The 27,752-nt window shown below is 35.2% G+C and overlaps 1 long non-coding RNA gene across 1 annotated transcript in view, besides 1 other annotated feature; it reads right to left on the bottom strand.

Annotated features, from left to right (window-relative positions):
* The window catches only part of LOC107986070 (uncharacterized), a 28,200-nt gene extending 11,106 nt beyond the window's left edge, over positions 1-17,094 (bottom strand). Inside the window, exon 1 of the long non-coding RNA XR_001740623.1 lies at positions 16,935-17,094. This is a non-coding gene — a long non-coding RNA (uncharacterized LOC107986070). The remainder of the gene's footprint in view (positions 1-16,934) is intronic.
* Positions 27,358-27,527: an enhancer, noted in NCBI's record as "experimental_68988 CRE fragment used in MPRA reporter constructs". NCBI's record gives its function as "activates a minimal promoter by MPRAs in K562 erythroleukemia cells, with activity observed for the non-introgressed 3:24799913 variant allele {active_cell/tissue: K562}" and the evidence as "EXISTENCE:reporter gene assay evidence [ECO:0000049][PMID:34662402]".

Below are 27,752 nucleotides of genomic sequence, written 5' to 3'. Positions count from 1 at the left end.
GATAGTAAATAATATTTTGGATTATAATTGAACTGTGGAGTTTTAGAATTAGAATTATCTTTGACAATTAAAACCCAATCTAAATGCTTCATATTTTAACTGTTTTTTTTCAGTACAGAGAGGTTAAATGGAAAATTTTGAATCATGTAGACAATACTGTTTTAATTTTCTCAGATGAGCTTTGTGAAATGTGAAACCTCACAACCTTCTCATTCCCAACCTAATTTTATCTGGCAAAATAAACTGTATTATTTTTAAAGTAGAACTTACAAAATCCAAAATTTTACTCAGGGAAGATACGCTGAAACTGCTGATCTTTTAACTTATCCTAATTTCTACATCAATTGCTTCTTTCCTTTGAGATATTTCTGGAACTCCTAGATTCATATTTAAAGATCATCTAAAAATTTCTTTAATTTACCATTTTACAAAAATAACACTGATTACAGACAATTTTATAACAGTAATGCAATATTACCCAGAGGCCCATGGAAAGACATAGTTACATGTGATCCTATGCAGCTACTCAAGGTTGTTATATCTCCACAGCAGATACCTCTATAAAGATGAAGCTCTGATAGGAATATTCACTTATATTAGGAGACAGAAGAATAAGTACCACATGCCTTATCTTTTCTATTTGTACAAGCAGCAGAGAATATTTAATGACAAACATTCTTATTTCCATTTGTCACACAATGGTTTTAACAATGTATTATCATCAGCTCATATACCAAGAGGTTGCCATTGATGTTATGTGTCAGGAAGATGCTTTTCTGATGACCTTTAAATACCACAATCCCAAGTGATGATGCAGAATGACTTTCTTTTATCCCAAGACCTTCTTTAAAAAATTCAAATGCTTTGGGGTATGTCATTGGGCCAATGATGCAGTGTTACATCTTTTGCAAGATGTTAGAGGAAGGAAAGACTGTTAAACCTTGGATGTCAATTGTTACCTTTACTAAGGTATTTTTACCTTATCTATTTGTAACATTTTTCTTCTAAAGAGCACAAAGACTGTATGAAAAAGCGTACAAAGACCTCCAATATTCCAAATTATTGAGAGAAGGTGGCATTTTTTTTTCTTTTGGGTTGGGGTGCTGTGCACAAATATGAAAGTTGTTGAAAACAAATCATCCCCTATGATGATCTCAATGAGGAAAAATTTTAAACTAGACTGTCCCATCTGTCAGGTGCAACATTTCGCAGATGAATCTGTGACACTCATCAAACCACACTCAGATCAGATTCTGATACTCCCAACACGTGACTTTGATATTGAGTCAACTGTCAGTACATACATGTCACTTGAGAGGGGTATTTTTCCCACATCATTTGTGTAAGTCATGGGATAATTAAAAAGGTCGATTTCCTTTCTTCCAAAATCCCTATTTCCATTATTTCCCAGAATTCTTCTCAGGGAAGATACTGTGTGTATTTGAAAAAGATCCTTTGTTAAATTAAGGTTGAGAGAAAACCCAAAAGGCAAACTAGAAACACTACATGGTCTACAAATGTATTCTAAGAAGTGGAGAAGGCGTCTTATAACTAAGTGGCATTACAATTGCTGAGCACTGTGTTCAGTGGGGCTCACATATACTGGAATAGATCAGAATTTACCAACTCAATAGGGAAGACTATAAGCATTTTCTATGGTTTGAATGGGTCCCCTCCAATACTTAGATGTTGCCAACGTTATAGCCTTAAGAGGTAGGGCCTTTAAGAGGTGATTAGACCATGAGGGAGGAGCCCTCATAAATGTGATTTAGGTCCTTGTGCAAAAGGCTTCATGCAACACTCAGCCTGCTTGCTCACTGGCTTCCATGTGAAGACACTTCGTTCCTACCCTCCAGAGGATGCAACATCAAGGCACCATCTTAGGAGCAGAGAGCAGCCTTCAGTAAACCTGCTGGCACCTTGATCTTGGAATTTCCAACTTCTAGAACTGTAAGAAAATAAATTCCTTTAGTTTGTAAATTACCCAGTCTAGGTATTTTGTTATAGCAGCACAAAACAGCTAAGATATTGTTTAAATGAAATGCAGGAGATAAGAAGGGACTATGAAAGACAGATGTTTAATGGGATTTGTGAAGACCATGAACAATGTAATGTAAATATCATTGTAATGTGCAATGTAAACCCTCTCCTCTCCTATGAAATCAACATAATATTTTATACTACTTAATCACAATATTGGTGTGATTGAATTATCCAAGGGGAATGTAAGGAATAGTGGATGCAAGGCAAAAGCAGAGATATTTCAACATCTGAAAAATTTTTAGAAAAAGAAAAGGGCTCACTTCTTCAGGAACTTTTTCTCTGCTTTTCTGTGCTAAGTAAGAAGTGTTTACTTTCTTTTATTTTCATGATGGTATAAGGAACTTCTAGTTTCTACTTGGAATGTAGAAATCTAGAAAGAGCTATGCCTCCAAGCTTACAACAACAATGTAAAAAGTGAAACAACCTGCAAGTTAATGACATTTCTTGAATGCATCAAAAAGCTGATATTGCTGGAAACCAACCATCCAAAATATAAGGACAGGCAGATGTCTGTTGGGAGAGATGAGATGTGAGTACTTGCTTACGTGGGGCAGACACAGTTGGATATTAGTAAGAATAATGGAGCTAGAATAGTTAACAAACTGGTGGAAGCTGAGTAGGGGTTGGTGAGAGATTGTGGAACCATAAGACATGAAAATACAGCAGTCCTCCATTATCTGCAAGGGATATGTTCCAAGACACACAGTAGATGCCTGAAACCACAAATAGTGCTAAACCATATATATACTATGTTTTTCCTATACATACATACCTATGCATACAAATTTAATTTATAGATTAGGCACAGTTGTGTTTAACAACCAATAATACAACAATTATAACAATATACTATAATAATAGTTACACAAATATGGTCTCTCTATATGTAGATATAGATATATTCAGACCGTGGTTGATTATGGGTAACTGAAACCAAAGAAAGTGAAACCACAGATAAGGACTACTGTACAGGGGAATTCATACTCTCTTTCTTGCAAGCTTTTCTTCACGGATCTCATAGCTTCCCAAAAAAGATTGGTATGAGTCTCAAGAGAGCATGCCTAATGGTGTAATGGTGAAGTTCTGAGAGAGGAAAACAGCAGCCACTGTGGGAAAAGCATATATCCAACCTGGAACTTCTCTCCTATATCCTTTATGGGGAAAAAGCCATAATCTATGGAGTGAAACACAACCAATCCTCTTACCCTGAGGCAATGATAAAAATCCATTTTAGCCTAAGAAGAAAACCCTCTACCCTTGGAGAAAGATCAGGAATATGTGCTGGATGTGGAACTACAGTTAAGATATGAAGAGGAATATTAAGAATGTTATACCTGAGGCCCAGGCACAGTGGCTCACCCCTGTAATCCCAGCATTATGGGAGGCCAAGGTGGGGAGATCACTTGAAGTCAGGAGTTTGCGACCAGCCTGGTCAACAAGGTGAAACCCTATCTCCACTAAAAATACAAAAATTAGCAGGACATGGTGGTAGGTGCCTATAATCCCAGCTACTTGAGAGGCTGAGGCAGGAGAATCACTTGAACCTGGGAGGTGGAGAGGTTGCAATGAGCTGAGTTCATGCCACTGTACTACAGCCTGCGCAACAGAGTGAGACCCTGTCTCAAAAATAAAAAAATAAAATAAAAAAGAATGTTATACCTGAGACCTGAGACATAGTGCTTGCCTAAAATTTAGAGTGAATCAGAACACTGGGCTAACAAGCATTAATTTTAAAAAGTAATAATAGAAAACTGCTGGAGTGCTGGAGATGAACAATAACTGAGACACAGTGCAAAGGGAAGACCTAAAGCTGAGGATGAAACAGAAATTAAATAAAACCCACTGATAAACCAGCTGCCACTCAAAACACAAGATATCATCAAAAGAATTTGCAATCTGTTTAACACTGAGAGTAACCACAGTAACAAGAAACCCAAAGCAAATTCCTACTCCTGGTTGAATTAACTTAAACATGCACATTAAAGAACCAGCAGGAAGAAAAAATAGAGGCCTAACAAAAGAAAAAGCATGCCCATCTGTAAACATAAAAGCTACTTACCTTAGACTCTATTGCCACAGTATGTCCCATTTCCAACAAAAAATCAAGACACACAAAAAGGCAAGAAAAAAAACAACACTGTCAAGAGACAAAGCAGTCAACAAAACTAGACTCAGATATGACACTGATGTTGGAACAGAAAGGTAAATTAAAATATCTATGATTAATACGTTAAAGACTCTAATGTAACAGGAGACGATATGCATGATTTGATGGGAAATTTCAACAGAGATTCAAAAACTATAAGAAATAATTAAATGAAAATGCTAGAAATGAAAACACAATAACAGACGAAGAATGACCTCAGCAGGCTCATAAGTAGACTTGATATAGACTAGGAAAGAATCGATAAAGTGAAAGAAAGTCACTAGAAATTATCCAAACTGAAGCTGAAAAAAAAGTGTGAAAATAAAAATAGAACATTCACGAGTTATGGAATAATTCCAATCAGTCCAATAATCTAATAAGCATAAGACAGAGAAAGTGGATCAAAAGAAATATTTGAAAAAATGATGGCATAGAATTTTCTAGAATTAATTACTGACACTAAACCACAGATCAAAATAGAGAATGCTGACTAAGATAAATATCACAAAAACACACCTATGCATATTAGTCAAACTGCTGAAAACAAAAGACAAAGAGAAGTTCTTAAAGCAGTTGGGTATGGGGGAATCCTTTACATATAAAGGAACACAGATGAGACGTGGAGCCATCTTCCTTCCAGAAACTACCCAAGCCAGATTATGATGAGACATTTTATAGTGCAGAAAGAATGATTTACTTGTTAAAAATTTACCCAGAATTTATAGGCAGTGAATATAATTTTCAAAAATAAAGTAGGAAAAAAACTGAAGGAGAAATACTTTCTCAGACAAATATGAAGGGAAGTCATTTTAACATAGAAAACCTACACTAAAAGAAATGGTAAAAGAAAATTTCTTCAGGAAGAAAATGATACAAAATTGAAATTTAGATCTAAATAAAAAAATAAAAACATCACATTAGAGATGAAATAAATGAAAGTAAATAAAACTTATTTTTTTCTTATTTTTAATGGCTCTGAAATAACGAATTGTTTTGACCAATGGTAGCAATGTAGTGTGTGTTTATGGAAAAAAATGTAAAATATATGACAACAATAACACAAAGTTTGGGAAGGAGGAATTGGGAGTTGACTATTTAAGATTCTTAAAGTCCTTAAATTAAACATTAAGTAGTATAAAATATCTGAAGATAGACTCCAATTAAAGTTGTATCTTGTAAATCCTAAACCAACCCCTGAACAATTTAACAAGAGGTATATATAATAAGTCAAGAGTTGAGATAAAATAGAATAATAAATGCCTGATTATTCTGCCAAGAGAAGGCAGAAAAACAGGGGAGGAAAAAAAACAAAAAATTGGTGGAACAAATCAATTATAGGTATCAAGAGGACAGATCTTAAACTAATTATATCAATGATTATATTTAATGTGAATGGTCTAAACATACTAAATAAGAGATTGTCAGATTGGGCGTAAAAGGAAACTCCAATGATATAATGTTGATAGGGTTTGGCTCTGTGTCCCCACCCAAATCTCATCTCGAATTGTAATCCCCACATGTCAAGGGAGGGAGGTGACTGAATCATCATAGCAGTTTACCCCATGCTGTTCTCATAATAGTGAGTGAATTCTCATGAGATCAGATGATTTTATAAGTGTTTGAGAGTTGCTCCCTTATATGCTCACACCCTCTCCTGCAACCTTGTGAAGAAGGTGCCTGCTTTTACCTTCTGCCATGATTGTAAGTTTCCTGAGCCCTTCCCAACCATGGGGAACTGTGACTCAATTAAATCTCTTTTGTTTATAAATTACTCAGTCTCAGGGAGTATCTTTATATTAATAGCAATGTGAAAATGGACTAATACAACTCTTTACGAGATATCCACTTTAAATATAAAGATAAAGATAGGTAAAATGTAAAAGAATGGGAAAAATATGCCATGCAAACACTAATTTAAAGAAAGATGTAGTAGCTATATTAATATCAAGGTGGACTTCAGAACAAAAAATATTATCAGAAATAAACACTACAGAATGATAAAAAGGTCAATTTTCCATGAATTATAACAATTTATATCAGCATGCACCTTACAAGAGTTTAAAAATGCATGAAGCAAAAATTGCTGAATTTGAAAGCAGAAATACACAAACCCTCAATAGTATTTAGATGTTGTAATATTCTCCTCTCAGTAATTGATGACAAAGTAGACAGAAAATCAATAAAGATATAGAAGAACTAAATAACACGATCAACCAACTTGATCTAACCGATATTTATAGAATACTCCAGCCAACAATAGCAGACTGTACATTCTTTTCAAATGTTTGGGACATTCAAGACAGACCATCTTGTGTCATAAATAAGCCTTAAAAATTGAAAAAATTAGAAATCATAGAAAGTTTAGCTTTTGGACAATAATATAGCTAAACTAGGAATCCGTAACAGAAATATATCTGGAAAATCTTTGAATATTTGTAAATTCAACAAACACAATTTTTAATAGCCATAGGTCAAAGAGGACATTTTGAGAAAATCTGAAAATATTTTTGACTTAATAGCATAAAAATTTAAACATATTAATTTTTTTACATTAAGCTAAGTAGTGCACAGAGAGATCTTTATAGCATAAAAGACTACACACTGAGTACAACGTACACAGCTTGGGGGATGGGTGCACCAAAATCCCTGCAATCACCACTAAAGAACCAAACACCACCTGTTGCCAAAAATCTATTGAAATTTTTAAAAATTAAAAGAAAAATTTGCCGGGAATGGTAGAATGCGCCTGTGGCCCCAGCTTCTCAGGAGGCTGAGGCAGGAGGATCTCTTGAACCCAGGAGTTCAAGGCTGCAGTGAGCCATGAGTGCACCACTGCACTCCAGCCTATGTGACAGAGTGAGACTTTGACACACGTGCGCGCATGCACACACACACACGCACACACACAATGAATAAAGTTTTTTATGGCCAGGTGTGGTGGCTCATGCCTGTAATCCCAGCACTTTGGGAGGCTTAGGCAGGAGGATCACTTGAGCCCAGGAATTCAAGACCAGTCAGGGAAACATGTAGAGACCCCCATCTCTACAAAAATAATTTTAAAATTAGCTGGACAGGATGGTGCACACTTGTAGCCCCAGTTTCTGGTAGGCTGAGGCTGGAGGATTGCTTGAGCCCAGGGGTTTGAGATTGCAGTGAGCTAGGACTGCACCACTGTACTCCAACCTGGGTGACAGAGTGACATCCTGTCTCATAAATAAATAAATAAATAAATAAATAAATAAATAAATAAATGGAGCTTTATTACGCTCCCCAAAATGGAAAGCTAGAATCATCTGCCATAAATGAAAAAGTAAAAGTTCAAAAAGTAAGGCCGGGCACGGTGGCTCACGCCTGTAATCCCAGCACTTTGGGAGGCCGAGGCGGGCGGATCACGAGGTCAGGAGATCGAGACCATCCCGGCTAAAACGGTGAAACCCCGTCTCTACTGAAAATACAAAAAATTAGCCGGGCGTAGTGGCGGGCGCCTGTAGTCCCAGCTACTTGGGAGGCTGAGGCAGGAGAATGGCGTGAACCCGGGAGGCGGAGCTTGCAGTGAGCCGAGATCCCGCCACTGCACTCCAGCCTGGGCGACAGAGCGAGACTCCGTCTCAAAAAAAAAAAAAAAAAAAAAAAAAAAAAAAGTTCAAAAAGTAAGTCAGTCACAAATGACAAATCTAATCCCTCTCTTTAAGGGACTAGAAAAGGAAGATCAAATTAAACTAGACGCAAGCAAAAGGAAAGAAATTTAAAAACAGAAGAGCAGAAATCATGAAATTGAAGATAAAAAATAGAGAAAATCAGTGAAACTAAAAGATGATTCTTTTTAAAAATCAATAAAGTTCAAAAACCTGTTCCCTGACTAAGAAACAGAGAGAGAAGAAAGAAATTACTAATATTAGAAGTGAAAGATGGGAGGGATATACAGATCCCACATAGTTAATAAAAGGATGACACCATAACTCTTAAATACTCAAATTCAAAAACTTAGATGAAATTAGCCAATTCCTTAAAAGACACAAAATGCCAATACGTGCTCAAGAAATAAGTAGATCACTAGAACAGCCCATATCTATTGAAACAATTAACTCATAGTTTGTAACCTTCCAACAAAGAAAACTTGGCCCAGATGATTTCACAGGCAAGTTCTACCAAAACTTTAAGAAAAACATGATACCAAAAATAGCAGAACAGGGACCACTTTCAACCTTATCTTAGGAGATCAGAATTATCCTAATACTAAAACTAGACAAAGTAATTACAAAAAGAGAAAACCCTATTTCTCATGAACAAAGATATAAATATTCTCAACAAAATGTTAGCTAATCAAAACCAACAATATGTATATATAAGGGATAATATATGATAAATAGATGTGTTTATCCCAGAAATGCAAAGCTGCCTCTACATGTAAAAATCAATTAATGCAATTTATCGTATTAACAGACTAAAGAAGAAAATGCAAATGATTATCTCAATAGATAAACGGCATTTGATAAAATTCAACATTAATTCAGGATAAAAAGCTTTCAGCAAACTTAGGACAGAAGAAAAATTCATTAACCTAATGAAGGACATCTATACAAAACCTGCAGCTAACATCATTGAGTGAAAAACTAAATGCTTTCTCCCTAAAATCAGTAAAAAGACAAGAGTATCCTCTTTCACCACTTCCATTCAACATCTTACTGAACGACCTAGCCAGTGCAATAAGGCAAGAAAGAGAAATAATATATTTAATCCACATACATGATATATCTCTCCATGTATTTTAGTCTTCTTTAATTTATTTTATCAGTGTTTTGTTGTTTTTAGCCTACTTATCCTACATAATTTATTAGATTACATTTATAATATTGTTAAAATGTCAGTTCTATCCAAACTACTTTACAAATTCAGCACAATCCCCATTTAAACCCATAGGGTTTTTTTTTATACATTGAAACATCAATTCTAAAATTTGTGTGGAAACATGGCAAAGAAAGCAGAATAGCAAAAGCAATCCTGAAAAACAAAACAAATTTGGAGGATTCATACTATCTGATTTCAACATTTACTATAAATCTGCAGTCATCAGCATAGTTTTGTATTGACAGAGATAGATACAAGATCAATATAACAGAATAGAGATCCCAGAAGTAGATTCACACAAATATACTTATTTTTTTATAAAGGTGCAAAGAAAATTCAATGGAGAGAAAATAATCTTTTCAACAACTGTTACTAGAACAATTGGATATCCATATGAGATAAGTTAATCTGTATCCATAGCTTCTGCCTTACCAAATATTAAATCAAAGTGGATCATACACTTAAATGCAAAATGTGAAATTATAAAATCTTCTCAAAGAAAACATAGAAGATAATGATTATGACATTGAGCTAGGCAAAAAGTTTCTTAGAAACAACACCAAAACCAAGAGTCAAAAAATTTTAAAGATCAATTAACATTATACTTTTTAAAATTTTAAACTTTTTGGTTAGCAAAGCCAAGTTAAGAGAATGAAAAGACAAGCATGGATCAGGAGAAAACATTTGCAAACCAAATCACATATCTGACAAAGAACTTGCAACTAGAATACAGTTTTTAAAACTCTCACAATTCATTAATAAGAAACCAAACAATCCATTTAAAAAACAGAGAACAAATTAGAACAGACTTTAACAAAGAGGATAAACAGCTGGCATATCAGCACATGAAAAGATGATTAATATCATTATTAGGGAAATACAAATTAAAATCACAATTTTATATATTTTATATATATATGTAAATGCTAAAATAGCTAGACTTAAAAAAATAATGCTAAACGCCAGTGAGTATGCAAAGCAATTGGAACTCTGATATGTGGCTAGTGAGAATGCAAGATGGTACAGCCTCTTTGGGAAATAGTTTGGCAATTTCTTAAAAAATTAAACATATACTTACCACATGGACTAGCAAACCCACTCCTAGTTATTTCTTCAAAAGAAATGAAAATGTGCATTCACATAAAAACCTATATGTGAATATTTACAGAAGTTTTATTCATAGCTACCAGAAAGTTGAAACAATCCAGATGTCCTTCAACTGGTGAATAGATAAGCAGAATGGTACATTCATACAATGAAACCTTCCCCAGCAGTAAAAAGTAATGAATTATCAATACATATAACAACCTGGATAAATCTTCAATATATTTTGCTAAGAGAAATACGCCTGACTAGATGTTGTAAGGTTAAATACAAAAAGAAGTATACTGTACACAATTACAGTACTCTAGGTAGACATTTTTTTTTCTGATGTGGTATGGGTTAAGAATTCTGAAATTACTTTATGAATGGATCAGAGTTGAACAAATAAATGAATACACTGTAGGTTTCTCACTATTTGAGACAGAAGTTAAAATGAAGAAGAGGAAAAATCTAGATGAACCCCCTGATGTTAGATTTGAGCGTGTGGTATCCATATAAACTCTTATTTCTTATTATTTTATATGCAGATGAATACTGAAATATAGAGGTGTTTGTCTGCAAAGATTAGTATACATACATACATACATACATACATACATACATACATACATATAGTTTCCAGGGTTGCCCACTGAGAGAACCTAGAAACAGCTACAACTCAGTAGTAATGAACATACCCAGCTCTGAGATATTGGCTTCTAAATAAAACGACCCAGGGCACATCAGATCATGTGGTGCGAGGAAGTAAGAAAGTATTCAGAAAAGGATAAGACAGGTAGAAAGGACACTGAGGACAGCCAGGAAAATCACCCAAAGGCTGAAGCTGGAACAATTTGAACAACAAAATAAATAATGATAGTATTAGAATATAACTCATAGAATAAAATAAATATCCATGAGAACTTGCTGATATAAATAAGTAAGTAAATGGAACAGTTCTTCCCTACAGAAGAATTCTGATTAATACATTTAGAAGGAATAAGGAAATTAGAAAATATTAAACACTACAGTAATAAGAATTGTTACAGACAAGATCAACCAATGAATACTAAAATAAGTGGGTGAACATTTGAGCAGAAACATATTTTTGTAACTTTGAAGTGTCTCCTGTAGAATTGTTACTAAGGACGAAGGGAAAAATAGAAACTTTACAGTGCAGAAATCTAGCCAATACCACTTTAATCCTAGTGATCTAGTTCCCATTACCGATCATAAAACAAACTGACATCATGTATTGCCTTTTATGATGCACTGAGAAACACACATCATCTCTGTGGGATTCTTCTCAGAGGAGCCTACTTCATGCTTCCTTTATCCTTTGTAGATTCTTAGGAGATTTTTTAGTCTTCTAAGCCATAATTGTACACCCATATTATTGTCATTTTCTCATAGTTTTTATTGTGTCTTGAATATATATCTTAAACATTCACCTTTGGGCTGTTAACTTTTTAATCTAGGTTTTTCCAGATTATCTCATCTTGATAGTAAATAAAAGAGAAGTATTGAGAAGTGCTCTGTTTTTAATGATCATTTATGACTAGTGCCAATTCAGTTATAAGTTAGGATCAATAATTACTTAAAATCGCGATTGCATGGATCCTCAGGCTCAGACCATCTCTCAGTTTCTCTCTTTCTTCCCTGCGCTCTCTATGTCAATGTCTGTCTCTTTCTGTATCCCTTTCCTCTTTTTTCCCCACTATCTTTGTTAGAAGCAGTAGATCACAGCAGTTAAGTGCAGAGCTTGAGCGCCCTCTGTCTGGGGTCAAGCAGAGCTCTGCTATTTGGCCCTGTGATATTGCATGAACCATTTAACCCATCTGGCATTTGATTTCCTCTATCTGCAAAGTGGAGATAATAATAGTACCTACCTCACAGAATCAGTGTGATGATTAAATGAAATAATACAATTAAATCACTTAGAAAAAAGAGTGGTTAGCATACAGGCAGTTCTTAGTAACTATTACTTATTTTACACCTAGGTTCAGAGAATTAAACTCCATCATCAACAATTTGGATAAATCCACTTTCTTATTTTCTCTCTTTTTTGATAATGAGCATCTCCTATAATTCTCCATTCTTTCATGACAACCACTCTACCCTATTTAATATATGTTTTTGGAGATATAAGTTTCCTAGGAAAATATATTTTATATATTGGTATGGCCTTAATTTACATATGCCCTATTTGTTGCATTTTGAAAAAATATAAAATATATAAGATACATTTTAATTTTAAAATATATATGCAAATTTCTGTATGTCCATTTTGTTCAATGGTTTTCAACTGTGAAATCACTTCGAGAACTTTTAAATAACACCAATCCCCATTCTAGATCAATTAATCCAGGCACAGGGGCTTAGGCATTAATAATTCTTATTTTATCTATTCATCTATTTATTTGAGACAGGGTCTCATTCCGTCACCCAAGCTGGAGGGCAGTGGCACCATCATAGCTCACTGAAGCCTCAAACTCCTGGGCTAAAGTGATCCTCCTGTTTCAGCCTTCTGAGTAGCTAGGAATACAGGCACATGCCACCATGCCTTGCTAATTTTTAATTTTTTTTTTTGTAAAGATAGGGTTTTGCTATGTTGCCCGGGCTGGTCTCAAACTCCTGGATTCAAGCAATCCTCCCACCTTGGCCTCCCAAAGTGCTGGGATTGCAGGCATGAGCCACTGTGCCCTTCCAGGAGTTTTTAAATTTCCTCAGGTGAGCAGCCAGAGTAAGAACCACCAAATTAGTTCATGGCTTCTAATTGCTCCGTAGTATGCCTCCACCATCGTTCATTCATTCATTCATTCATTCATTCATTCATTCATTCCTTGGTAGTGGATGCCTCACTTTCTTCCTGTTCTCTATTAACTACATGCAATGTCTTAGTAAACATCCTCATACGTGTTCCTTTCTGGGTCTGGAAAAGATGTGTTCTGGGTTATAGACACAGAGGGGAACTATCAGCTTGTTGAATTTATGCACTTGTCTAAATAATGCCAATTCTCTCCAGGGTGTGTGCATTAGTTGATTCTTTCACAAGAGTGCATGATGAGTCTGTTTTCTCCAAACCGTAAGACCTGGAATGTGCAACCTCTGTTGTAGAGAAGAGCCACATGCTTGGTTGAATGCTCTCCTATCATCTTGAAATTCTTAATAATTTTACTTGGAGCTTGTGGTTTACAAGTGAAATCAGATGGGACAATGGAGCAGGTAGAAGCACACCCAACAGAAGTAGAGCCATTCAGTTGTGGTTTAGAAGCAGCTCACTTAAGCATGGACTCAGGCATATGTTCATGGCAAACATATACCTTGAGACAAATGAGATGTCATTTGAAGGTTTTGAATAGAGGAGTGACTGATTCATCTGCCATTTAAAAGATCACTCTAGCTGCTGTGTTACAAATAGATGAGGAAAAAAGAAAACACTTAAGAAGCAAGTTCAGTTATAAAGTTAGGAGCCTACTGCAATAATTAAAGAAAAATCATGGATTCCTAAAGTTGGAAGCAATAGGGATGAAGAAAGTTAGATTTAGATATAATTTGTACTAGCATCCCAAAAGGGGTGCAGTGAATGCCATCTACTCCAGGCGCAGACAATAAGTAGAGAATTATCCGTAGAGAATTCAAAAGTGACATTAAAACTAACTAAAAGTCAGTTTGCTTTTTATTGTTACCATGAACTTGCAATTGTAAATAATGTCAGTGATAAAATACTCCTCTGAGAAGAAAAGCTCTTTAGTCTAAGTTTTAGTTCTACACAAGTGCTGTAGTTTCTGCTGAGTTTTAATAATATACATGTGAGCTACAATTTAGCATATTTTAAATTTCTTATCCTTTAATAAACACTGTATGCCAGATGGAAGTTATTTCCAAGAAGCTCCAGTTGCACGGTTGTCGTCCAACACAAATGGACTCAGTTGCCTGCACAAGTTTTGAGAAAATGTTTACGTGGTGTTGAGGAATTGCTGGTGCACACTTCAGGGGCACGACTTGGTGGTACCACCTATCTCTGCAGTTAGATAGGAGATTAAGAATACACAATAGCACAGTGATTATAAATGTGAAGAGACAGAATTTGAATTATCTTAATTCTGTAATTTGCTGTGACCATTTGGAGTTTTCATTTGTGTTTAAAATTTCTGGGTTTTATTGTAAAATGGGACTTTTATCTTTAAGACTTTTATGACTAATTGTGCATTTATTCATTCATGTAAATAACATTTATAAAAAGTATTCTTCAATCAACTATGAAGGAAGATTGACAAATCTGGCTCTATTCTATTAAACATGAATATGTAAAGAAAGTTAATTTTGTTGAAGTCATTGACAAGTTTGCAGAACTCAGAAGTTCTGAGTCTGAAGGCTCAAACACTTCATTAATCCAAAAACAAATATATAGGTACAAGTTGTTTGTCTCTTTTATAACAAGTAATAAATCAAGTAGTGTTTATTCATACTTTTTTCCTTGCTTGTATTGTAATTTTTATTTTATTCTTTTTTTTACATGTAATATTTATTTTTTTCTGACACAATTTTATATATGAAGTTTGGTGAAAGAAAAAAATCATTGTCTACGTTTCTTTTCTAGCCATTATTATTATCTTCTTTACTTCATGATTATTACTGAAAATAATTTTGTCCTGTAGATGAGGCATGTTAAAAAAAATCTACTATGGTTGTCAAAGCCCATTACATCACTGATAACTTGAAGTCAGGACCAATAACACTCCTGGTGGGTAAGACATGGCATGCATAAGGTAAAAAGGTTTTTGTTTGTTTGGATGTTTTATTTTGTTTTTGTTACCTGGGCTACCGAAAGGATGGTGTTGCCACTTACAGGCTTGTGGGGGAAAAGTAGATCTTTGGTTTGGGAAGTGCCAACTCCAAGCTATTAGAAAAATAAGTGCAGATGTTAAATTGACCGTAGATATCCAAATCTGGAATTCAGGGCTGAGACCCAGGCTGCACAGTAACAGCATGAAGCTGGTATTTAAAGACAAGAACTGGACGAATTCACATAGGAGAAGAGTATATACCGAACGGGAAGGTGGTCTGAATGGGAGTCCTGAGTTATGTCAGCATTTAGAGATTGATCTTTTGTGGCCCACATTGCTATGAATATTCAGTGTGTGCTCACAAAGAATGCACATTCTCTTTTTATGGCACAGGCTTATGGTGAGGAATTTTTGTCCGTGTGATCAATTCCTTGAATGCGTTAAAATATGTGGAGTACATTTTTTACTTAATTTTTTCTCCCGGTAATCCTGTCATTTGTCGCTTTCTCTAATAGACCTTGTACATTTCAGAGCATCTGTTGGTTTACAGAAAAATTAAGACAGTACAGAGACTGCCCATGTACTCCTGCAGGTGGGGCTCCCCCATCAATTAATGCAACATCTCACATTAGATGGTAGATTTGTTACAATGAATGGATCAATATTGAGACATTATTATTAACTGAACAGTTTATTCAGAGTTCCTTAGTTTTTGCCTGTTGTCTTTCCTCTGTTCCAGATTCTACCCAAGATACTACACTACATTTATTCATCATGCTTCCTTAGGTCCCTCTAGACTGTGGTGGTTTCTTGGGCTTGCCTTGTTTTTGATGACCTTGACAGTTTTGAGGAGTAACTGACCAGGTATATTGTAGGATGTCCCCTTTTGGAATTTGCCTCAATATTCAGGGGTTATCAGTGTTTTAGAGAAAATATCAGAGCATAAAGTGGCATTTTCATCACATCATGTCAACATAATTCATGACTTGACACTGACCTTGATAACCTGGTTGATGCAGTGTTTGTCAGGTTTCTCCACTGTCGAGCTGCTCATTTCTCCCCTTTCCAGAATACACTCTTTGGAAGAAAATCACTAGATGCCATCCACACTTAAGGAATGGGAAGTTATACTCTCCCTCTTTTAAGGCAGAATAATTACATACATTATTTGGAATTGTTCTGTATAAAATATTTGTTTCTTCTCTGCCATTTATTAATGTATTCAATCATTATCAATATGGACTCATAGATATTTCTTTTATACTTTGGGTAATTATCCAATATTGCTTTATTTATTTTGTTGTTTGAATCACTGGGATATTGTTGGCACCTGTGCCCCTTGAGACATCCACATCAACGGGGGTAGAGTTTTTTGTTTCTTTGTTTGGGGATTTTTTTAAAAAAATTTTAAATTTTATTTATTTATTTATTTTGCGCTTCTTTCTGTCTGGCACTACAAAATGCTTCAGACTCATCTTACATATTTCCTACCTGGGCTCTAGAATAAGTCATTCTACAAGAGCTCTGCTTTCTTTGACTGGAGAATGGCACTAGGAACCAAGATCTGGGTTCTACATAGGGTCATTATTACTGAGGTACATCCATTTGTTGCTTTTTGTATTTTACGACCTTGTGCAGATACACACACATACACACACACACACATATTCATGATGATTATTGTAACTTCTCAATCTACTGTTTTTTCTTCTAATATACTAACCCTCTTTTACATTCATAATTTTAACTTTAAATTCTTCATTGCCTGATACGAAAATGGCTATGCCAGATTTCTTTAGATTTGGATTTATCTATATAGCATTCTTAGTTTATTTTCAAATTTCTGAATACTGTTGTTTTAAATATGCCTCTTATAGACAACATATTAGTGGATTTTTAAAATATAGTCTGAAAGTTTCTCTCTTTAAATGGGGGATTGAAACTTCATAATGATTCATTGTATTCCTGATGATTTGGTATTTTGAGACTAATTTCTGACACTCTATGTAAATTGTTCCATTTACCTTACTTCCTTGTTTCTTCATCTGCCTTTTCATCTTCTGTATAAGTTTTTGAAGTTACATCTGTGGTTCTGAAAGTTATACATTCTGTTTTTAGTCTTTGTCTGGTTATCCCTATTAAGATTCAAACTTACATTTTATTTTTTCTTATTAATTTCTCAATAGTATCAGAATCTTTTTTTTTCTAAATCAGACAAGTTCATTTGTGTGTGCTCAGCTCCCTCTCATATCCATGATATTCTCTGTTGATCTCAATCTCACCATGTTGAGCTAATCTAGAACAGTACTAACATACTAGTCACTAACCACATGTGGCTATTTAATTTTAAACTTAGATGAATTAAAATTAAATATAGTAAAATATTTAGTTTACTTTTCAAGTATTCAATAGTTGCATGTAGCACAGATATAGAACATTTCTGTTATCTCTGAAATTTCTATTGAACAGTGCTGATCTAGAATTTTATTCCATATCGTTTTGAACATATTTTTGGTTGTTGATTGCTTTTTTGAGAAAATGGTAAACTTTACTAAATAATTTTCTATTCTTACTTCCCATATATTTTATAGCATCTGCTAGAATTGTTTTCTCTACTTTCTGGAAAACTTACTCCCAGAGTATTTCCAATGGAGGCCTTGGTGTGGAAAACCCTATAAGGCATTTACAGAAGAACATATCCTTATTTTCACCTTGCATTTAAATGATAAATCGCATGAACATAAACTCTAACATAAAATATTCCTTCTTTGCTGTTCTGGTAATTTAATTTTATTGTGTTTTTTTTTCTTTGAGTAATGCCATAGAGAACTCTGATAATAGTCTGACACTTGTTCTTTGTAGATATTGTGCACCTACTCTCAATTTTTTTTTGTTTGTTTTGTTTTAAGGAGCAGAGAGTTTAATAGGCAAGGAAGATGGGAGAAGGTAGAAGATAGAAGCTCCCCCATACAGAGACAGAGGGAGGGGGAGCTCCAAAGCAGAGAGAGGGAACCCCAAGTGGGACAGAAACCAGCCAGGTGTGTATATATAGAGGCTGGAGGAGGCAGTGTCTGATTTCCATAGGGCTCAGAGGATTGGTTTGACTAGGCATGTCATTCACGTAGCTGGGGAAAAGCTGGCCCTCCCCCCCAGCCTTTTAATATGCAAATGCAGGGTGCCACGGTGTTCTACACACGTGGGGATATGTGGGGGCAGCCATGTTGCCAGGAACATGTGGGGCAAGGGCAAGAAGGCCATGGGAATCGCCATGTTGGGTGGACCCAGTTTCTAATGGATTGCGTTTGCATATCAAAGATTGCCAGCCTCGCTCAATCTTGCTCTCTCTCTCTCTCTCCCTCTCTCCGTTATTCTTTAGCAACACTATAATGCCTTGTCATTTTAAAATTGTTCCTGTAAGTTCTGTTAATTTCTGCCTGGCATCTTTCTTTTCTTTTTAAAAACTTTCAATAATTTTTTTACATATATTTCCCCCTGTTTATTTCTTTTCTCTATTTCTGGGATCTCTATTATGGTCAATTTGACATTTTATTGTTCTCTTTTTTTACTTTCCTTTGAGTATGTTTTTGATTTGATCATTTAGTTCAGTAAAACTTTGACTATTTCTTTTGTAACTTATCCCATATATTGAGGTCATTATTTCAATGTCTTCAATTGGTTCTTCTCTACTGGATAATTTTTGTTTCATGTTTCAGATATCATCTTTTTTCAGGTTAAATATTATGTTGTTTTAAATTCTTGCTCTGTTACTTCTTTTATCTTCTGGGTTGTTCAACTTATTAATCTTTTATAGTGTTTGTGTTCCTCAAATATGTCACTGATTGCCCTTGTAAGCTTATATGTCATTTAGTATCTACTAACTTGACTAGTAATGCATACCTCGGGAGAGAAAGAAGTCCAGGCTCTATATTCCAATTTATGTCCCACCTCCCTGGTTGAGAGAGTTAGGAGGATATTCCTTAGGTCTGAGAGGCATTTTCTTTTAGTGAGGAAATTAGAAGAGCAAACAAAATTCAGTGTTAGGTATGTTAAACCTACTTATCGTAATGATATATTTTGCATAGAAGCATTAACTTGATGCATTTAAAAATGCTTTATACAATATAAGTTACATTTTGCTACTTTACAAACCATCCCAGCACATAGTGGTTTAACATAACAACTTAGGCCGGGCTTGATGGCTCATGCCTTTAATCCCAGCAAGCAGGAGGATCACTTGACCCCAGGAGTTCAAGACCAGCCTTGGCAACACAGGGACACGCTGTCTCTAAAATAGGTAGGTAGATAGACAAATAAATAAACAATTTATTATTAGGTATTACAATTCTGTGGGTTGACTCCTTTCAGCTAGGAGGCTCTTGTTTTGAGTCTCTCATGAAATTGCAAGCAGATGGAGGTTAAGCAGGAATGCAGGACTCAACTAGAATGGACATATATGATGGCTCTCTCATGGTGGCTGGCAGCTAATGTGGCCTGTTCACTGGGAATCAAGCACAGGGCTTTAGATTTCTCACAGAATTGTGGCTTTGTTCTTAGAGGAAGCATTCCAAGGGTCAGCTTTCTAAGGGATCCAGGAGGAATCTTATGCTTACTCTGATATAGACTGGTGACTCCCAGAGTCTCACTCCCACTGCATTCATCTAGTCATGCAAATCATTAAGGGCAGCCCAGAGTCAAGGGGAAGAGCAGAACACTCACACAGTGGAAGAAAGAATTGATGATGGCCATCATTGGAAACTACCTTCCATGTATACTTTGCTTTGTGAATTGTATTTCTCTTCTCTGACATGTGTCAGCCTAGAGTAACTCTCTCTGACCTCCATAAGTGAAAACTACTGACTGGTTTTTTTTTTCCCCTAGCAAAGGAAATGAGCTTTGCCTTTGCCCATCAGCTTTATTTTGGGTTAATAAAAACTAAATATTGTTATATCAGCGCCTGTAGTCCCAGCTACTCAGGAGGCTGAGGCAGGGGAATCACTCGAACCGAACCTGGGAGGCGGAGGTTGCAGTGAGCCAAGATTGCGCCACTGCACTCCACCCTGGCAACAGAGCGAGACAGCATCTCAAAAAATAAAAATAAAAATAAAAAAATTAAAGAATCTATAGGCATTTTCTCTTGGAACAGTGTGTTCTATGTATTGTCTGTGTATGTATATGTGTGTGACTCTCCCCACACATACTCACCATGCAAATATTCTAGAATTGCTAGATATTTTGGTCTTGCTCTCTTTTTAAAATTAACTAGATATAAAGCTGCTTACAGTAACAAGCCATTCATCTTTATAAGTCAGTTACAATTTAAAGAAAGCAGTTTCTTCTCAATCACTGGCATCAATCATCTGGAAGTAAGTATCTCATTCAATTATGCTGCATCATGCCAAATACAAATCACATGAACCCTAAAGCATTTTTGAGCTTCAGAAAAAAGAAGAAAAATAAGCTATAACCATTTGAAGTGTTGTAAGCAGCTTTAAATCCTTTGGTTAAGAGGAGATATAATTTGCTATAATTTTAGTGAATTAGAAACATTTGCCTTTATTTCAGGATGTAAAACTCTAATCTTTAACATAAGTATTTTATTTCTTAACAGCGTTGACTTAATCTTTGTGATTTCTGCTCTCACAAGTGCTTTATTCTATTTTAAAATCATAAAACACATAGAAGATGCTATCCCATATTCTCAGGGCATGCTGTGTGTCCTCTTACATGAGAGGCTGAACTGGTAGGAGTATAAATTCTGATTGGAATATTCATATTAGAATAACACGAAGAAAGGGTCTGACAAATTTAGTCAAGAATTTCAGCAAAACCTTATTTTGAAATGTAAATGGTAAAGGATGTGAGCAAAGAATTCACAAAGAATAAATACAGACACTCAATGGATATAGAAAAAATGTTTAACTTTACAATTTATCAAAAAGTAGACTAAAACAAAAGACTGTATTTTTCCTAACAAATTGGCAAATTTTAATTAAATTATATTAAATGTTATTGGTTTTTACAGGAACAATTAGACAAAAGCTTAAAAATTGGGGTTGTCCCCCAAAGTTTAAAATATATATTTATGACAAAATTTCTTCGTCTGCAATCTGGATAAATCTATTTAAACAGAAAACAAGAACAACTGGAAGGATGCCTGAAAGCATAAAACCACATTATCACAGTGTGTTTGGAAGTTATCTCCTTCAGTTTTCTCCCCAGATTTCCTGGTATTTTACTCAGCAATCTGGCCTTCAAATTTAAGAAGATCCCAGTAAATAAAATGATTAATATTGTTTGTTTAGTAAATGTGATTATGTCTGAATAGCTGCTACTTAGAAGAGGGATCAACAAACTTTTTCTGTAAAGGGCCAGATAGCAAATGTTTTAGTTTTTGAGAGCTATAAAGTCTCTGTTGCAACTATTTAACTGTTGCTGTGCTGTGAAAACAGCCATAGAGATTACATAAATGGATGGATATGGCTGTATTCCAATAAAATGTATTTACAGTAACCACCAACAGGTCATATTTGGCCTGTGGGATGCAGTTTTCTGAGCCTAGCTCTAAAATATGCCTGTATATTGTCCCTTAATCATAGTGTCTAGTATATTTATATTTATTTATCCAAGGAAGATGCTGAGAAGCCTGGGGTGGGCGTAGGAGAAGAGGGGAAGGTTTCGAGGCCAAACTTAGCCAAACATAGGCAGAGAAAGGATGGCAAGCTTCCAGAATTATCCATATGTTGTTAACCGGGTCTACACAGAGTTGGCTACACTGGCCAATAACTTGAAAATGTCTAGATACTGGATATGAACAAAGAAAAAAAATTATCACTAGTGGTAATTATACTCAATTCTTTCAGAAGGTCCTAGCAGAAAAGAGATCAGAGCAGGCAAAAGCAAAAATGTAACTTTTATTGAAAAAAGAAAACATGTTTGGAAGTTTTAAAATTAGTGTTAGAAAAGAATGCACTCAAATACTGATGTCGCCTCAGAAGTTCTTGCTATGAATGTAACCTTCCTGGAGGTAGAAAAAAACTGACCCTCCAATAAAATAGCTGTGGTTTGGGTCAGCAGTTTTCTTTCCCCTTTCCCAGCTCTTTTTCCCTTTTCCTCCTGAATCTGCACTGACCTCCCATCTCCCTCTTTTGGGGGCAAAGATTAAGCCGATGGGGGCACCCCAATCAGAAGTCCCTGACCGTCCCGTCCTTGGTTATTTAACCGCGATGGGTATTTCCGGGAAGGTCATCATTTCTTTCCATCACAATGAGTGATCGACTCAACATGGAGTTCATATTGCACCAAACACTTTCAAAAATGATTCATGTTAATGGCATGTCTCGGGGAATTGATGCTGAACAGAAGCTACAACTAAAGCTTAAAAAATGATTTAGCAATAGGAAAGCCCACAGACCACGGCACACGTAGGCACAGTAGATGGTAAACATCAAAGAATAAATACAACTAAAAGTCATAAAATCGGATAGACAATAAATCTGACAGTTCAAGACCTTTTGGGGCTTGAATCATAAAAAATAAAATTACTTACTCAGGCATTCCTGGGTTTGTTTATTTATTTATTTATTTATTTATTTATTTTTTGCCACACGTCTTTTACAGGGCAGTGAACTGAAGACAGTTTCATATTTCTGACGTGTTAGTGTGTTTTACAAAGGTGGTTGCCGCACAAAATAAAATCAAAAGGACATATTGAAAAAAATACCCTCCTTTTGTCCATAATACTGATCACTCCTTGAAGGAAGAGGTTGTTGGGAATTTATCCACCAAAATCAGACTTGAAGCTTTTATAGGTTTCCCATGGCAGCCACAAAATGTAACAAAAAAAGAGAACTGATATATCCAAATCATTCTTGTTTTTTATTTCCTTACAGTCCTTTTGTCTTCTAAGGGAGTTATAATTGGGTTTGTAGAGTCTATTTTATAAAATAAAAAGGAGAAAAGCATTGTAATGTTTTAGATGAACTGAAGGGAGAAAAGAAATATAGGAAGCTAACATTAGATTGAAGAAAATATTAATGTCAAAAATACCTTTTCTTCAAATATAAAATGTGTCCTTAGGAAAAGTTTCTGCAAAAGATCTAAACATAGATCATCCTTAATGTATTTTTAACTAAAGGAAGAAGAAAATAATAAGCAGACTAATTGTACCTTTGTTTCTTCTAAGACTTGCTTCCTATCTTAACTATTAAGTCATAATTCAAAAGCAGTATTAAACCTCCACTTATAAAGCATTCTGTTAAGACTTCTGTAACATTTAATAATGAACAAGACAAGATTCCACCCTCAAACCTGGGTCTAGAAAGCTGATCCTGAAGGTAACCGTTAAAGCCTTGCTGAGTAAAGGGAACTGACCTTGACTGTCTCAATTCTTTATGCATCTTGCTACTCCTCATACATAACTCAAAATAAGCTCATGAATACTTTTGGTTTTACATGTCTTACCTTCTTTTCCCTATTAGATATTAAAGTCCTTATCAATATTCAAGAAATATCGATCATCTACTGTGCATCAGAGACCATTCAACAATAACCAAGACATGTTCCTGCTACTGCAGAGCTTGCAATTAAGAAAGATATTAAACAATAATTATACAATGAATTATATAATTAATTTTGTTATAAAGACAGCAATGAACATTACCTAGTAGATCCATCTTATATATGTTCTTCATACCCCCACTGTTTGAGACATTCCTCTGCAAAAAACAAACAAACAAACAAACAAAAACAATAAAGTTGTTGATTATGTGACAAAATAAATTTTAGGAGTTTGGTTAGGTTACGTGGTTTAGGCAATGCGTTTTCAAAAGCGTCAATATTGCCCTCATAGGGGTGAAAATCGGTTTTGGCAGGGGTGAAAAAAATACTTCTTTTAATGCATAAAGCAGAGAGAGATATACATACAGCATATAAACAGATATATGTCATATGTGAGATATTAAAATATTATGGGGTAGCAGTTGGAAAAAATGTCAAAAAAGGTTTATTAGGGAGGGAAATGATAATGAAAAAACGACTGAGAAACACTGGTGTAGGCAACACCTGCTTACTAATATTCCATTTGTGTATACCAATTCCATACAACGTTCTCATGCTCTTTCTCCCCAGTCAAGGGAAGTGCTATCATCAGAAACTCTTGCCAGCCAAATGTATTATCCTTTGGCTCTGCTTGGACAGACGCAGGTTGTAGAACTCATAGTAAATAAAGGCTATAATGTAAGATAGCTTCAAAGTGTATGGGCTCTGGGTTTAAAGAGAGCTCAGTGTTCTTTATATGATAGCTCAGTGCTGTCATATAAATCTTCATTGGGTAAAAATAATAAGAGCTACACTTATTGGGCATGTTATAAATGCTAGGGTCTGCACTAAGTGCTTTAGGTACATTCTCTCATTTAATCCTCAGAACTCTCATGAGTATTATTAACATCCCCATTGTACAGAGGATAAAACTAGGACTTGGATTGGTCAAATAATTTACTCAGATGAGACTTGAAATTGAAACCCAGACTATCTGATGTCAAAGACTATTGTCCTAACCTTTTGCTATTATTACCTACTATAAGCTAAACTATTAATATATTTCTAAGTACCATTTGCAAAATGGTTTCTTTGGGAAAAGTGATCTGAATTCCAAAAACTGATTCACAAAAAGAACTATCAAAACACCTGTTTACTACAGATCTAGGATAATGTATACGGCTTCTTGGTACTTTTGGTAAATTAAAGACAGCTGTAAGTTTTTTGTTTCTGTACCCACCAAGAAGTGGAGTCCAATTATTCCCCCCTTGACTACGGGTTAGGCCCTGTCATGTTTTGACTGATAGAATACAGTAAAAGTGATGCTGTGCTAGTTTTGACCCTAGGCTTTCAGAAGACTGGCAGCTTCTTCTTGGAATCTAGCTACTATGCTGTGAGGAAGCTCAGGGAGCCACACGAAGAAGCCCATATGGAAAAGAATTGAGACCACCAACTAACAGCTCCAGCTGAGCCAACAACAGCTTACCAGCCCTGTGAGTGAGGCCATTTTGAAAGTGGACCTTCCAGACCTAAGCTATGCCTGATGAATCCTGCTCAAATAGCAAAATCTTGAGCAAAGAAATGATTGCTGTTGTTTTAAACCACTAAGTTTTGGGCAACAGATTATCAAAACAGTACCCCAATACAGAGTGATTTAAAAATGAGTGATGATTCACACAAATAAAACTGGACAGATTCTCCTGATGCCAAATTACGGACCTCATATTTCCAGAGATAAGAGTTTGACTGCTTTTTGTCTTTTCACCCAGAGGGAAAGGTTATAGGTAGACTTTTTCAGCAATAATCCTTTCTGGAACTCTAAACGTGTGTTTTCTATTGTCAAGGTTCCCATTTTGTAGAAGTGCCTACATTGCCATTACTATCGTGAGCAGAAGTAGGTTAGGTTTGCCTAGGTTAAGCCAATACAACTTGCGATTTTACCTTGAAAGGGCTTTTTAAGGGAAACTTTTGAAACAAATCAATAATTTCAGAATAATTTATAGTACACATAAAAAAGAAAATCACTTTACCAAACAATTATGTTTAAACTAAATGTATGTATTCTACTGAGTTGTCAATGTTAAGTCTAAGCACTGCCCTATCCTAAGATGCTCATATTTATCCCCCTTTAGATGTGTAGGCCAGAGCCTCAGTCCCATCCTTGATTATTGATGCATTCATGACATGTCTATTTCTGTCAATTTCATATAGGAAACTCTGTGCTATGAACTCAGTTGTGTCCCCTAAAATTCATATGTTGAAGCCCTACACTAGACATGGCTATATTAAGAGTAAGGAAGTAGGTAAGGCTAAAAGGAGTTATAAGGGTTGAATCTTGATCTGATAGGATTAGTTAGTCTCCTTATGAAAAGAGACATGAGACAGCTCTCTCTCCCCACCATGTGAGGACACAGCAAGAAAGCATCTGTCTGCAAGCCAGGAGGAAAGCCTTCATCAAAACTGTATCTGTTGGCACCTTGATCTTAAACTTCCCAGCCTTCAGAACTATGAGAAATAAATTCCTGTTGTTTAAGCCACCCAGTCTGTGATATTTTGTTATGGCAGACTGAGCAGACTAATACACTATGTTCATAGAATTTTAAGTGGAAAGAAATGTATAGGTCAGTCTCCCCATATTTGTTCTTCTCTTATATGGTAATAGAATTTTCAGTTGGGCACATGGCCATCCAGATTAAAAAATATATTTTCCAGCCTCCCTTTCAGATACAGCCAAGTTACAAAGCTGAGCTTGTGCAATGTCAGTGGGGGTAGATGTTCAACTGCCATGTTGGGTAAGGGAAGAGCAAGGTTTCCTTGTCCCGTTTCTTCTTCCTGAGTGAGAAGTCATCATGGAAGATGGCAAAGCCATAAGATAAAAGGAGTCTGTGATTCTTTGCGAAAGGAACCTGCCCTACCAACTCAGGGTTTTACTTGTGAGAGGAATAAATGTCTATCTTTTTTAAAAGCCACTGTTAATTTTGGTTCCAGAATTTTACAGAAACCAAATTGATATTCTCACTAATTCATATAATCATCTATTGCAGGGATTGGCAAACATTATTTGTAAAGGGCCAGAAAATTATTATTTTAGGCATTATGAGCTTCGTTTATGGGTCTATGAGCCACATGTACTCTGTTGCAACTACTCTGCCTTTGTAGCATGAAGCAGTCATATACTATATGTAAATAAATGAGCAGTATGGTTGTATTTCAATTAAGTTTTATTCATAAAAACAGGTGGCAGACCAGATTTGGCTCCTAGGCTATAGTTGTAGACCCCTGACCTATTATTATTAATCCCTTTATCTTAAAAGTGATGAAACTGATATATACAGATTTCAAACTATGCTCACACATAGCTAAGACAACGTAAATACCAACTCAGTTCCCTAAATTCTCAGGTCAATATTCTATCCATCCACCTCATTCTCTATTATAGAGGCTTATAGATATCTCTCTACAGGTGCTTAGTGCTTGTTCATTATAACATAAAAGCCTTACTCTTAAAAAAAAAGTCTCTACATATTTTTCTCTTTTTCTTTGTCTCTATATTATTTTCATTGCATTTTTCTTTTTGCTCTTTTCCATTATAAAATTTGTACTTTTTATTATACACCTATATCTCCTGTTCTTATGGGTCACTTGTTTTGTGTATTAGACAGTAAAGGTTATTAGGCCAAAGATATCCAGAGATTGATCTTTATTAATATCACCTGCCTCAGATGTTTCTTGGAAGCAAGACTTTAAATAGAGTAACTTCATTTATATTAATAACAAAGACATAACATTGTTTGTAAGAATACAAAGAAATTCCTGTGTCCATGTGATTCTAAGTAGAAGCCAAAACACTGTATTTTTTCCAGGGCTAACATTTTTGTACCACCCTTCAAAAATTATTTAGGTGCAACTACAAACTTCCCAATCTTTCACGACTCAGGTATCTGAGGTTTAAAAATTAAGCCAGTTTCAGATAGCAGAGATAGATTTTCTGTTTATTACAAAATTATAACTGACCTTGGCCATTACATTAAAAATTCCTCCTTGAACCTAATACCAGAAAGTATTTGTCTGTAAAAAATGAATGCCTTTTTTCTTAAACAATGCAAAATGTATAATTCAATGTATTTTCTATTTTTCCCTAAGTTACCAGGAAATTTGTAGCTTGCTCAAATCTCATCTCTCCTCATTCAGCATCCTGGTCTCCTGGTAACAGCTACTCCCTTTCAGATAGTTTTTATTCTTTATGCAAACAATTTTATTATCTCATTGCATACTGTATTTGATTTTGCTAATTTATTCGATTATAC

Source organism: Homo sapiens, chromosome 3 (assembly GCF_000001405.40).
Source record: "Homo sapiens chromosome 3, GRCh38.p14 Primary Assembly".
In the NCBI taxonomy this organism is placed as follows: Eukaryota; Metazoa; Chordata; class Mammalia; order Primates; family Hominidae; genus Homo; species Homo sapiens.
The sequence above is the reverse complement of the archived record's forward strand: the minus strand, read 5'-3'. Positions and strand labels throughout refer to the sequence as shown.